This window comes from Homo sapiens, chromosome 10, assembly GCF_000001405.40.
Source record: "Homo sapiens chromosome 10, GRCh38.p14 Primary Assembly".
NCBI classification, from domain to species: Eukaryota; Metazoa; Chordata; class Mammalia; order Primates; family Hominidae; genus Homo; species Homo sapiens.
Genome location: NC_000010.11, coordinates 131,908,856 through 131,922,030, shown reverse-complemented (window position 1 = coordinate 131,922,030; position 13,175 = coordinate 131,908,856). Strand labels below are relative to the sequence as shown.

General features: G+C 48.0%; 1 protein-coding gene across 5 annotated transcripts in view, besides 4 other annotated features; it reads right to left on the bottom strand.

Annotated features, from left to right (window-relative positions):
- The window catches only part of PPP2R2D (protein phosphatase 2 regulatory subunit Bdelta), a 70,526-nt gene that overhangs the window by 49,503 nt on the left and 7,848 nt on the right, over positions 1–13,175 (bottom strand). The window contains exon 3 of one of the 5 annotated variants that reach the window (NM_001291310.2): positions 9,433–10,469. The exons of the other annotated variants lie outside the window; for them this stretch is intronic. The gene's annotated coding sequence lies outside the window, so the exon portion shown is untranslated. The remainder of the gene's footprint in view (positions 1–9,432; positions 10,470–13,175) is intronic. 5 annotated transcript variants of the gene reach the window in all.
- Positions 412–706: a silencer, noted in NCBI's record as "tiled region #4393; K562 Repressive DNase matched - State 5:Enh". NCBI's record gives its function as "represses a minimal TATA promoter and a strong SV40 promoter by Sharpr-MPRA in K562 cells {active_cell/tissue: K562}" and the evidence as "EXISTENCE:reporter gene assay evidence [ECO:0000049][PMID:27701403]".
- Positions 412–718: a biological region, named in NCBI's record as "Sharpr-MPRA regulatory region 4393".
- Positions 434–617: a silencer, noted in NCBI's record as "fragment chr10:133734918-133735101 (GRCh37/hg19 assembly coordinates)". NCBI's record gives its function as "represses an EF-1alpha promoter that drives an FKBP-Casp9 reporter gene in an ReSE screen in HepG2 liver carcinoma cells {active_cell/tissue: HepG2}" and the evidence as "EXISTENCE:reporter gene assay evidence [ECO:0000049][PMID:32094911]".
- Positions 669–718: an enhancer, noted in NCBI's record as "active region_4221". NCBI's record gives its function as "activates an Ori minimal core promoter by ATAC-STARR-seq in GM12878 lymphoblastoid cells {active_cell/tissue: GM12878}" and the evidence as "EXISTENCE:reporter gene assay evidence [ECO:0000049][PMID:35858748]".

Here is a 13,175-nt window from a genome sequence, read left to right as displayed (position 1 = left end):
TTACTGAGAATATTCCAGGCTATTTCCCTCATGCCATGCTGAAAAATGAGAACGTCTTTATCCAAAAACAAAAGGCTGTCTGACTGAATATATTAACCTTTCTCTCAAACATATTAAGCAAACTGAATTACTCCTAGGCAATTTTATGCTCAATTTCATGCTTAGAAGTTCTTTTTGCAAATAACTATGTGAGCCATGGTAGACTCTGATTTACAGGCAAATCAAAAGCGCTTTATAACCACCAACGACAGGCCAGGGGCTCTGACACAATCACCAACATAGTCACTTTGGAAAATTAAAAATACACTCTCCCCAACTGAGCAAAAATGGATTCCAGCCCACCTCCGCACACTGCAGCCAGTGAGTTCTATTTTTTAAACTCAAATCCAACCATGCTGTTTTGAATCCTCACTGCCCTTAGTAAAGACCAAAATGCTCATCTTACTCCCTTTGCTTTCACACCCCATTGCCCCAGCCTGTTCTTCTCCCATGTCAAGTCCTCCCACCCTCTCTCCCCTTTGCAGGCTCCTCCCATCCCCCATCCCGGTCCAGGCCCATCCCTCATTTGCATCTGAGCTCAAGGGTTCCTTGTTCAGGGAAGCCTTTTGACTCCCAGAGCCCTCATCAAATGGCAACGGATGAACTCTTAACTGCCGAAGCCTTAGGACCCTGGGTGCGTGGGGCAGCGCCTTTACTCATGGTGCCTTCTCAACTGCACCTGCAAAGTGAGGCTGGGACATTCCCCCGGTCACTCCCTGCACGTCAGCAAAGCCTCTCTGGCCTCTCCCCCGTGGCAGATCTAGACATGCAACAACAAATACAACTATCTTTAAGTATTTCAGAGTCAGTCAAACTAGCAAGAAGGCAGTGACAAGTATTTCCCTTGCCTATACAGAAACGATCATCACTCTGAGAGCTGGTATCAAAAGGGGAAAAGCACATCTCAAACTTTAGGAAATGATCCTTGAACCTAGCCCATCATATTAGCAAAACAAAGCTGCTAATGTTTCTCTCCCAATAACTTGTTCCTGAAATTCATCTTCTATTAACATTTATTAGAAACACACACAACCCTGAGATTCCTGTTTCACTTTTTGTAAAGACAGGGTCTCGCTATGTTGCCCAGGCTGGAGCACAGTGGCGCAATCTTGGCCCACTGCAACCTCCTCCACCTCCCGGGTTCAAGTGATTCTCCTGCCTCAGCCTCCTGAGTAGCTGAGATTACAGGTATGCACCACTGTGCCCAGCAAATTTTTGTATTTTTAGTAGCAACGGGGTTTCACCATGTTGGCCACGCTGATCTCCCAACTCCTGACCTCAGGTGATCCACTCACCTCAGCCTCCCAAAGTGCTGGGATTACAGGCGTGAGATACTGTGCCCAGCAATAATTTTTTAAATAAACAAAAGTAGGTTAGAAACGTACCTCCTACATCAAAAATCCACATCTAATTCTGCCAAAAAAAGGAATGAAATTCTGACATATGCTACAATATGGCTGAGCCTTTGAAACATCATGTGTAGTGAAATATGCCAGACACAAGTGGACAAACACTATGTCATTATGTCCTTCCACCCACGTGAGGTCCCCACAAACACTGTGTCATTCCACCCGCGTGAGGTCCCTACACTGTGTCACTCCACCCACGTGAGGTCCCTACACTGTGTCATTCCACCTGCCTGAGGTCCCTACACTGTGTCACTCCACCCGCGTGAGGTCCCTACACTGTGTCATTCCACCTGTGTGAGGTCCCTACACTGTGTCATTCCACCCACGTCAGGTCCCTACAAACACTGTGTCATTCCACCCGCGTGAGGTCCCTATACTGTGTCATTCCACCCACGTCAGGTCCCTACAAACACTGTGTCATTCCACCCACGTGAGGTCCCTACACTGTGTAATTCCACCCGCGTGAGGTCCCTACAAACACTGTCATTCCACCCGTGTGAGATCCCTACAAACACTGTGTCATTCCACCCGCCTGAGGTCCCTACACTGTGTCATCCCACCCGACTGAGGTCCCTACAAACACTGTGTCATTCCACCCGCCTGAGGACCCTACAAACACTGTGTCATTCCACCCGTGTGAGGTCCCTACAAACACTGTGTCATTCCACCCGCCTGAGGTCCCTACACTGCGTCATCCCACCTGAATGAGGTCCCTACAAACACTGTGTCATTCCACCCACCTGAGGTCCCTACAAACACTGTCACTCCACCCGCCTGAGGTCCCTACACTGTGTCATTCCACCCACGTGAGGTCCCTACACTCTGTCATTCCACCCACGTGAGGTCCCTACGAACACTGTGTCATTCCACCGGCCTGAGGTCCCTATAAACACTGTCATTCCACCCGCGTGAGGTCCCTACACTGTGTCATCCTACCCGCCTGAGGTCCCTACAAACACTGTGTCATTCCACCCGCCTGAGGTCCCTACAAACACTGTCATTCCACCCACGTGAGATCCCTACATTGTGTCATTCCACCCGCCTGAGGTCCCTACAAACACTGTGTCATTCCACCCACCTGAGGTCCGTACAAACACTGTGTCATTCCACCCACGCGAGATCCCTACACTGTGTCATTCCACCCGCCTGAGGTCCCTACAAAGACTGTGTCATTCCACCTGCCTGAGGTCCCTACAAACGCTGTGCCATTCCACCCACGTGAGGTCCCTACACTGTCATTCCACCCGCCTGAGGTCCCTACAAAGACTGTGTCATTCCACCTGCCTGAGGTCCCTACAAACGCTGTGCCATTCCACCCACGTGAGGTCCCTACACTGTCATTCCACCCGCCTGAGGTCCCTACACTGTGTCATTCCGCCCGCCTGAGGTCGCTACAAGCACTGTGTCATTCCACCCACGTGAGATCCCTACACTGTGTCATTCCACCCGCCTGAGGTCCCTACACTGTCATTCCAGCCGCCTGACGTCCCTACAAACACTGTGTCACTCCACCCGCCTGAGGTCCCTACACTGTGTCATCCCGCTCGCCTGAGGTCCCTACAAACACTGTGTCATTCCACCCGCCTGAGGTCCCTACAAACACTGTGTCATTCCACCCGCCTGAGGTCCCTACACTGTGTCATTCCATCCGCCTGAGGTCCCTACAAACGCTGTGCCATTCCACCCATGTGAGGTCCCTACACTGTGTCATTCCACCCGCCTGAGGTCCCTACACTGTGTCATTCCACCCCCGTGAGGTCCCCACACTGTGTCATTCCACCCGCGTGAGGTCCCTACAAACACTGTGTCATTCCACCCGTGTGAGGTCCCTACAAACACTGTGTCATTCCACCCGCCTGAGGTCCCTACAAACACTGTCATTCCACCCGCGTGAGGTCCCTACACTGTGTCATCCTACCCGCCTGAGGTCCCTACAAACACTGTGTCATTCCACCTGCCTGAGGTCCCTACAAACACTGTCACTCCACCCGCGTTAGGTCCCTACAAACACTGTGTCATTCCACCCACGTGAGATCCCTACACTGTGTCATTCCACCGGCCTGAGGTCCCTACAAACACTGTCATTCCACCCGCCTGAGGTCCCTACAAACACTGTGTCACTCCACCCGTGTGAGGTCCCTAAAAACACTGTGTCATTCCACCCATGTGAGATCCCTACATTGTGTCATTCCACCCGCCTGAGGTCCCTACAAACACTGTGTCATTCCACCCGCCTGAGGTCCCTACAAACACTGTGTCATTCCACCCACGTGAGATCCCTACACCGTGTCATTCCACCCGCCTGAGGTCCCTACAAACACTGTGTCATTCCACCTGCCTGAGGTCCCTACAAACACTGTGTCATTCCACCTGCCTGAGGTCCCTACAAACGCTGTGCCATTCCACCCACGTGAGGTCCCTACACTGTGTCATTCCATCCGCCTGAGGTCCCTACAAACACTGACATTCCACCCGCCTGAGGTCCCTACAAACACTGTGTCACTCCACCCGCCTGAGGTCCCTACAAACACTGTGTCATCCCACCCGCCTGAGGTCCCTACACTGTGTCATTCCACCCACGTGAGGTCCCTGCAAACACTGTGTCATTCCACCCGTGTGAGGTCCCTACAAACACTGTGTCATTCCACCCGCCTGAGGTCCCTACACTGTGTCATTCCACCCACGTGAGGTCCCTGCAAACACTGTGTCATTCCACCCGTGTGAGGTCCCTACAAACACTGTGTCATTCCACCCGCCTGAGGTCCCTACACTGTGTCATTCCACCCACGTGAGGTCCCTACACTGTGTCATTCCACCCGCCTGAGGTCCCTATACTGTGTCATTCCACCCACGTGAGGTCCCTACACTGTGTCATTCCACCCGCCTGAGGTCCCTACACTGTCATTCCACCCACATGAGGTCCCTACACTGTGTCATTCCACCCGCCTGAGGTCCCTACACTGTGTCATTCCACCCACGTGAGGTCCCTACAAACACTGTCATTCCACCCGCCTGAGGTCCCTACAAACACTGTGTCATTCCACCCGCCTGAGGTCCCTACAAACACTGTGTCATTCCATCCGTGTGAGGTCCCTACAAACACTGTCATTCCACCCGCCTGAGGTCCCTACAAACACTGTCATTCCACCCGACTGAGGTCCCTACAAACACTGTCATTCCACCCGACTGAGGTCCCTACACTGTGTCATTCCACCTGCGTGAGGTCCCTACACTGTGTCATCCCACCCGCCTGAGGTCCCTACACTGTGTCATTCCACCTGCCTGAGGTCCCTACAAACACTGTGTCATTCCACCCGCCTGAGGTCCCTACAAACACTGTGTCATTCCACCCGCCTGAGGTCCCTACACTGTGTCATTCCACCCACCTGAGGTCCCTACAAACGCTGTGTCATTCCACCCGCCTGAGGTCCCTACACTGTGTCATTCCACCCACGTGAGGTCCCTGCAAACACTGTGTCATTCCACCCGTGTGAGGTCCCTACAAACACTGTGTCATTCCACCCGCCTGAGGTCCCTACACTGTGTCATTCCACCCACGTGAGGTCCCTACACTGTGTCATTCCACCCACCTGAGGTCCCTACACTGTGTCATTCCACCCACCTGAGGTCCCTACAAACGCTGTGTCATTCCACCCGCCTGAGGTCCCTACAAACGTTGTGTCATTCCACCTGCGTGAGGTCCCTACAAACACTGTCATTCCACCCGCCTGAGGTCCCTACAAACACTGTCATTCCACCCGACTGAGGTCCCTACAAACACTGTGTCATTCCACCTGCGTGAGGTCCCTACACTGTGTCATTCCACCCGCCTGAGGTCCCTACACTGTGTCATTCCGCCTGCCTGAGGTCCCTACAAACACTATGTCATTCCACCTGCCTGAGGTCCCTACAAACACTGTGTCATTCCACCCGCCTGAGGTCCCTACAAACGCTGTGTCATTCCACCCGCCTGAGGTCCCTAGACTGGGCAAATTCAGAGACAGAAAGTAGAATGGTGGTCGCCAGGGGCCGGGGAAGGGGAGAAGGGGAGTTATTGTTTAATAGGACAAAGTTGTGTTGGTAATGAGGAAGTTGTTTTGGGAACAGGTAGTGGTGATAGCTACACAACACTGTAAGTGCATTTACCACCACGCAACTGTACACTTATGAACGGCTAAAATGATAAATATTATGCCATGTATATTTTACCACAATTAAAAAAAATTCCTAGACCTCAAAAAAAAAAAAAAAATCCCAATCTATGCCAACCTGGGTGTCACATTTCTCTCTGTAGGTCAAGTGAAACATGGCCCAAACCACCCTAAGTTGCTGACATATAGATGCGAACTCCACAGAGCCCGCCTCTGGGTGCTGTGTGTGCGCCTCCACCACAGCCTGTCCTGCGGGGAACACGGAGGTTATCAGGGCGCGTGGCCAGAGAAAGGTTCCATCTACTTTTTAAATAACCCAGCAGCAGACATTTAATGGATTTCTATGGTTACTATTTTACCTACGACATATTTGACTGTGATCAGTACTTTAGGGCGTACACAGAAAGCCGTATGCTGATACCTTCATAATCCAAATAGATTACGCCTTTTACTACTGAATTCTTTAATGAACAGTAAGCAAATTGAGAATGGTTAAAGTAAAAACTTTCTCATTCTCTCCATTTTAAGATCACTATTACACACCTGAACTTAACCGGGGCTCTATGGCAGAGGAGATTAATAATTTTGGTTAATACTACTTCAACGATTATCTAATATTTCAGATGCCTTTAACAACATCTATCTGTTACCATAAACGAAGTCAACATCTAAGAAATGTGACCTGTGACACTGAACAGATCTCTAGGGTCTGACAAAGTTGCAGGGAGCTGGAGAAGCGCGGCCACGGCAGAGCTGCAATTCCCCATCGGCCTCTGTCTGATAAAAGGCAACCCATGGATCTATTTGGATAAACACTCAAGAGCAGGGACAGGCTATGAACCAATTTCACAGACAGTGCCTCCAGTGAGGAAGGAGTGCGGGCAACGGAGTTGGGGAGTTAAAACGGAGATGGACAGCCTCAACATGACCGTAGCCTTCATCTCTTCAAAAACCCAAAACAAGATGGACCGTTGTTAAGTGTGGAGTATGTGGGTGTTTATTTATTTTATGCAAATAATACATAATTATTTATTCTAAAAGCAACCTATCCCAATGTGAGGTGGCAAACAACGGAGCCTCCCGTACACAGGTTACTGCAAAGGACGGGAGCAAAGCTGAGACGCAGCCTTCAATGCCTACGAAAGCCAGGAACGTTTACAAACGCACTGGTACACGTAAGGCACGAATCCCCCCTTTTCAATCATTATTACTAGCTGAGTTTTTGTTTTGCTTTCTTTTAAATCTAGTTATGTACTAGAGCTTTTGTAATGAATACTCTTTTAGGGATACTACTTCGCCATTCTAGATTCTGGAACAGAACTATTGAAATTAAAAAAAAAAAATTTAAGGTATTTTCAAACATGACAAAATGGCAGCCTAAAACCATTAAAATTCCAGAAAACCGGAGCACAACAGAAGGTGGGGTGCTAAGCAGTGCTGAGTCACTATTAGGGGTGCACGGAGAGAAAAACCTTCCTCCTTCGAGTTGCTAGAACTCCCTCTTTACCTTTTCTTAAGGGCACTTTTCTCCTTATACCTACAAACAATGCATTCTTGGTGTGGAACATAAAATAATACAGAAATGTGCAGAATAAAAGCCAAAGTCTCTGTTCAGTGAGGCGTGACCACCCTTTCCCCACAGGCACCCCCGATGTCACCCCTGGATATCTGCTTTCCAGAGCAGCATTTACAACCACACTCAGCTTCGCCTGGGGTCACCGTTCTTCTGCAAAAGCTGCTGTTTTCACCCAATGTGTCACAGACTGCTCTCCGAGGGGCCCAGAACACTCTTACTCCACAAAGTGTGTGTTCTAACACATGTAACCGCCTCACTACTTTTAGGCATTTAGTGTTTTCAACGTTGTATCACTGCAGTGCACATCTTTCTGAAATGCTGGCCTATTTCCTGTAGGATTCCTACAAGTGGAACCTTGGGGTCCTAACCCTTGTGTTAAGTTTGAGAGAGAAATGTCAAATTACCCTCCAAAAAATGAGTGTACAGACACTCCTTCCAGAAATGACTAGGAAAAATGGAACATTATTATTGCTTTAATTAGAATGTCTTTGCTTATTTGAGACAGGGTCCACTCTGTTCCCAGGCTGGAATGCAGTGGTGTGATCACAGCTCACAGCAGCCTTGACCTCCTGGGCTCAAGGGATCCTCCTGCCTTGGCCTCCCAAAGTGCTGGGATTACAGGTGTGAGGCCGGTCATATCTTTGCTCATTAATACCATTTCTATGATGATTAATGTTAACTCTTTTACTCACCACCCACTTAAAACAAACCAGCCATTAGATGCGGTTAAACATGCAGACCTATTGTCTGTGTTTTTTTCACTCAAATGTTGCTAATTATCAGCAAACCTGCTGCCCCTTTCAGGCAGGTATGGTGACTCACCCAAGAATTCATAAAAGCCCTTCCTGTGTGCCGGTGCAGTGGTAGGTGTTGTGCACGATACAGAAAAAGATCAGCACAGCCTGTGTCTTCACACGGCTGCATTCCTATTTTAGTTGTGGTTTTATCATCTCTGGAGATCCAGATAAAATAAGCTCAAGTCTCTTTCATGCTCTGAGATATCTAACATCATTAGCAAGACTTCTGTCACTACTCCAGGATTGCCTGTTTTCATGGTTGCCCCTGCCTCTGAGCTCTAAACTCCTGACAGTCCACACCTGCCATGGCGTTCCCATGAGACAATAATGGAGGCCTGTAACGGAGTGAGCCCTACCACCTGGGCTTGGTAAGTGTACTCTCAGATGCTCGCATGCCAAAATCGCCTAACGACACATTGCTCAGAAAATATCCACCCCCATCATTAAGCCTCACATGATATTTCAGTTCAATTCACCAATCGCCTTTTGTCCCACACATTATTCCTCTTCCACCCCATTACTGACCCAAACATGGATCTCAGCCCTTTTTCTTCATTTCCAGAGTAGCAACAGCAATACAAAAAATCTAGTCAAAGACACATGTATAATAAATTCAGCTGTACTCGGAGAGGAGAGTGTGGAATGGGGGCAGAGGAATTAAAACTCAAGGTCAACAATTTTTAAAAACTCAGGAGACTAATATTCATAATGCATAAAGAACTTTTACAAGCTGGGTGCGGTGGCTCACAACTGTAATCCCAGCACTTTGGGAGGCCGAGGTGGGCGGATCACTTGAGCTCAGGAGTTCGAGACCAGCCTGGCCAACATGGTGAAACCCCAACTCTACTAAAAATACAAAAAAAAAAAAAAAAAATTAGCCGGGCATGGTGGCATCCCTGTAATCACACCTCGGGAGGCTGAGGCAGGAGAACCGTTTGAACCTGGGAAGCGGAGGTTGCAGTGAGCCGAGATAGTGCCACTGCACTCCAGCCTGGGTGACAGAGCGAGATTTCATCTCAAAAAAACAAACACACAAACCAAAAAAACCACTTTTACAGACTGACTTTTTTAAGTTCAGCAGAAAAATGGACAAAAGATGTAATCAAAGCAATTCAAAGAATAGAAACAAGAAATGTGCACAGCCTCTGACACCGTGTACCCACTCCTGGATGTCTGCCACCCAGGAAGGGCAGAAGGATGGACGAGACTCTCCTGCACTGTCATTAGAAACAGTGGACTAAATAACTAAGGGAATACTATGCAGCCATCAAAAAGGATAAAATGAGCCACATAAAAAGGCAGCCTGGTTAAAAACTTAAGTATGGGCTCTGGACTCAGAATGTCTGCATGCAAATAATGGGTATAGCACCTATTAGCTCTGAGACCTTCACCAAGTAACTTCATCTTCCTGATACTTGATCGTCTCATGTGTATGATGAAGGCAACACAGTAGTACTTACATTTCAAGGGGCAGTGGCCGGGGGTCAAATGAGCTCGAGTATGGCTGAGCAGAAAGCCCAGTTCCCTGTAAGATCTCCAATTATAGACTCTTAATGAAAAAAGGCAAGTGGCGGCCACATGCCATGGCTCATGCTTGTATTCCCAGCATTTTGGGAGGCCGAGGTGGGAGGATCACTTGAGTCCAGGAGTTCAAGACCATCCTGGGCAACACAGCAAAACCCTGTCTCTACAAAAAATAGAAAAAAGCTGGGCATGGCAGTGCAAGCCTATAGTTCCAGCTACTCAGGAGGCTGAGCAGGGAGAGGATTGCTTGAGCCTGATCAGGCTGCAGTGAGCTCTGATCGCACCACTGCACTCCAGCCTGGGTGACAGAGGAGTAAGACCCTATTTCCAAAAAAGGAAAGGAAAGGAAAAGAAGTAGCAAAAAACAATACTGACTAATACAGAAAATCTTATTCAAAGTCTAGAATAAGATTCCACATTTGTGGATTAAAAAAGATTGCTTATACACAAACTAGGTTTTAAAATATAAATAAATAAACACATAGAAAATGATCTACAAAGATACAGTTAGGAGCAGTGGGTCCTGAGGAAGACTCCAGGACAGCAGTGGGATGAAGAGGAACTTCCGCTCTGTGCTCTTGATCCAGCTGTTCTCAGCTGTTCTATCATTTGATTTTCTTTACATAATAAACACTCTATTTTTGTATTTTGAGACAAAACCAGTACAATCTGGTAAAGATGAGAAGGAACAGTTAATCCTGAAGTCTGCCCTGTCCTTGACACTCCTACTGCTAATAGCTTGCATTCAAGCAGCAGTTCTCAAAGTGCGGTCTGTGGGCCCTTGAGGGTGCAACGGTCAAGAACCTCTCAGAGGGTCCGTGAGGTCAAGACTATTTTCATCATAATCCTTGTACATCATCTGCCGTTTTCACGCTGTTGTCATTTCCACGGATGAGCAAAGCCAAGGGCAGGTGGAGCTGCTGGCGGCTCAGCATGATCTGTGGCAGCAGCCCCGAGCTCTCCTCTCCACGCCCTGCACAGGCAGGGAAAAGGGAAAGAAAAAGGAAAAAGGCCAGTTTTGCTTAGCTTATTCCCTGATGAACAGTTAAAATAATTCACCACTTTATTCAATTCCAACCCTGTGATAAAATGTGCCACAAAAGAACTTTTGCTGCATCCCCAAGTACAACTGTCTCAAGAAAAAGCACACGGTACAGTTGTTGGGGTTGAAAAACAAAAAACAAAATTCAGTTTCTCCCATCACATCCTCACAGCACACTTAGGACACCAGAGGTGTGGGGACCTCTCCCCAGCAGCAAGGAAGCAGTCAGTTCTGCAGCCGGACACTGGCTGGGGTCCTGATTCCATTAAATCTTGATGCTGGGAGAAAGCATCAAATCCCATAGGTTGAGTGCTCTGTCCCACAAGACTGCCCCCCACTTCGAGAGCCAACGGCAAGCCTCAGGTTGTGTTACTTGTGCTTCTGACTGACTGGCTATCAATCAGAGTGTCCACAACCCTCACTGAGCACGCAGATCTCAGGGAAACACTTTAGTTTAGCGGTTTATTATAAAGGAGACTACAGAGGACACTGAGGTGATGCACAGGGCGAGGGACGGGGGCTGAGACACAGAGCTCCCGTGTCCTCTCTGGGTGGGCCCCCCTCCAGAAACATCTGGAAGCTATCTTCAAACCCAGTCCATACATAGGCAAGACTGTTTGGCCACTGGTGATCAGCTTAACCTTCAGCTCCCCCACCCCTCACCACTCCCCGAGGTTGGGGATCGGGGCTGAAAGTCCCAACCTTCTAATCCTGCCTAGGTCTTTCTGGTGACCAGCCCCTGTTCTGAAGCTACCCAGGGGTTGCCGGCCCTTAGCCAACGCATTACGAAGACATCACTGACGAGCCCGAGGATTTTAGGAGTTGTGTACTAGGGAAGACCAAATACATATTCCACAGTATCACACAAGCTGAACTAGCCCTTTTTTTCATGGAATGCCATTTTTATTTGAAAGAACAACTGACCAACTTTGGTTATTAAGAATTTGGTATCTGGCAGAAATTGACTTGAAAATGAACACACTGCGTCCCTCACTTCACAGAAAGTAACTGACAGTATTTGTTACCAATGATAAAATCCAAGCTTTCAAGAGAAAATTAGAATTTTGGAAAACTTTTCTCTACTACTGCTAATTTGACAGTTTCTCACTTTTTCTTCTGATGAGATCAGTGATGACATTAAAAAATAGGATTTTCTTCAAGTTTACATAATGGAATGTGTTAACATTTAGAAAAAAAAACAACTCCATGTAACAATATTTCCAAACAACCCCCGTGTGATGTTACCAAATCATGTCCATGAGCAAAAGACCCACTCTGAGCACAAGACAGACCTCAGGGTTCTGACGGAAGAGAGTACAGAAACGTCACTGACTCCGAAAGGCCGGCACACTCAAACACGCTGCCACCTGGCGAGTTATGGTGCATCGCTAAGAGCCTCCAGGATGACCCCTCTTCTGCCCACATGGAAGTGTGACGCCACATTTTCCTTACACATTTCAATAAAGCAACTGGAACACACGGAATGCAGAAGCAGGTCTGAGAATCCAGCCGTCACCTCTTAAACCTCATATTTTAAAAGGATGTGCAAAAGTGTAAAACAACACTGTTCTTCTTGCTTAATCTTTTTGTTTTTGAAAAGTTGTTTCTCATTAAAAAGGTTATGTTAACATGTAGTAGATTCTTTTAAAGTAAAATAAATATTGTAAGTTGTTCTGTTTTAATTTCAAATATAGAAAACATCAACAGCGATAACCAGCACAAACAAAGGCTCTCTGGATCCTCAATATAACTATTAAGAGTATAAAATTATTCCAGCACCAAAAGACTTTGCAAACCAACTCTAGGTCAGGGTTTAGCAAACCACAACCTGGGCGACATCTGGCCAGCTGCCTGTTTTCTGTAGGCATGCTCCTGTGGAAGCAGGGCACAGAGCCACGCCCATCCATCTCTGCAGGGTCTATGGCTGTCTTCCTGCTAAAGGCAGAGTTGAATTCAGTCGTTGCAACAGGGACAGGATGGCCTGAAAGTCTAAGATACTTACCATTTGGCCCTTTACAAAAAAGCTTGGCCACCCCGAAACTAGAGTAAGCCCATTTTCCCAATCTTTATTATTGCAGTAACTTCCTATCTCCATTCTTACCCACCACCATCCACTCTCCAAAGGGCAGAGTGACCTTGTTAAAAACAAAGCTGATGTCGCTCCTCCGCTTAGGATCTGAAAAGCTCACAATCACTCAGAGTCCTGAGCACACGATTCAAGTCCTTTATTCATCATCCTGTGGCCCCAGCCAGCCTCCTGCTCATCACAGCCACTCCCTTTTCTGCCAGAGGACCATGCCAAGCACTGACCTCTCAGAACATACCATGCTCTGTCCAACCTCCACACCAAGCACTCTCCACCTGGAACATTCTCCTCCCCTTCCCTTCCTCCCTCTTCTTATACCCTGATGTCCTCCCCTCCACTCCCTACCCAAGTCTGTGTACTGGGTACTTCTTCACATTGCCTCAGTGTGCTCTGGTCCAGCCATGGTGCAAGGACCCACCTGCTTGTCTGTGTCCAAACAGCGTTTCCTGAAGGCAAGAACTGCATTTCTATTTCCAACAGCCAGCACTAGCAGCCCTTTGGTATGCTGTCGTGAACTTTTCAGATGTGCCAAGCTGAAAGCTGGCCCCTGC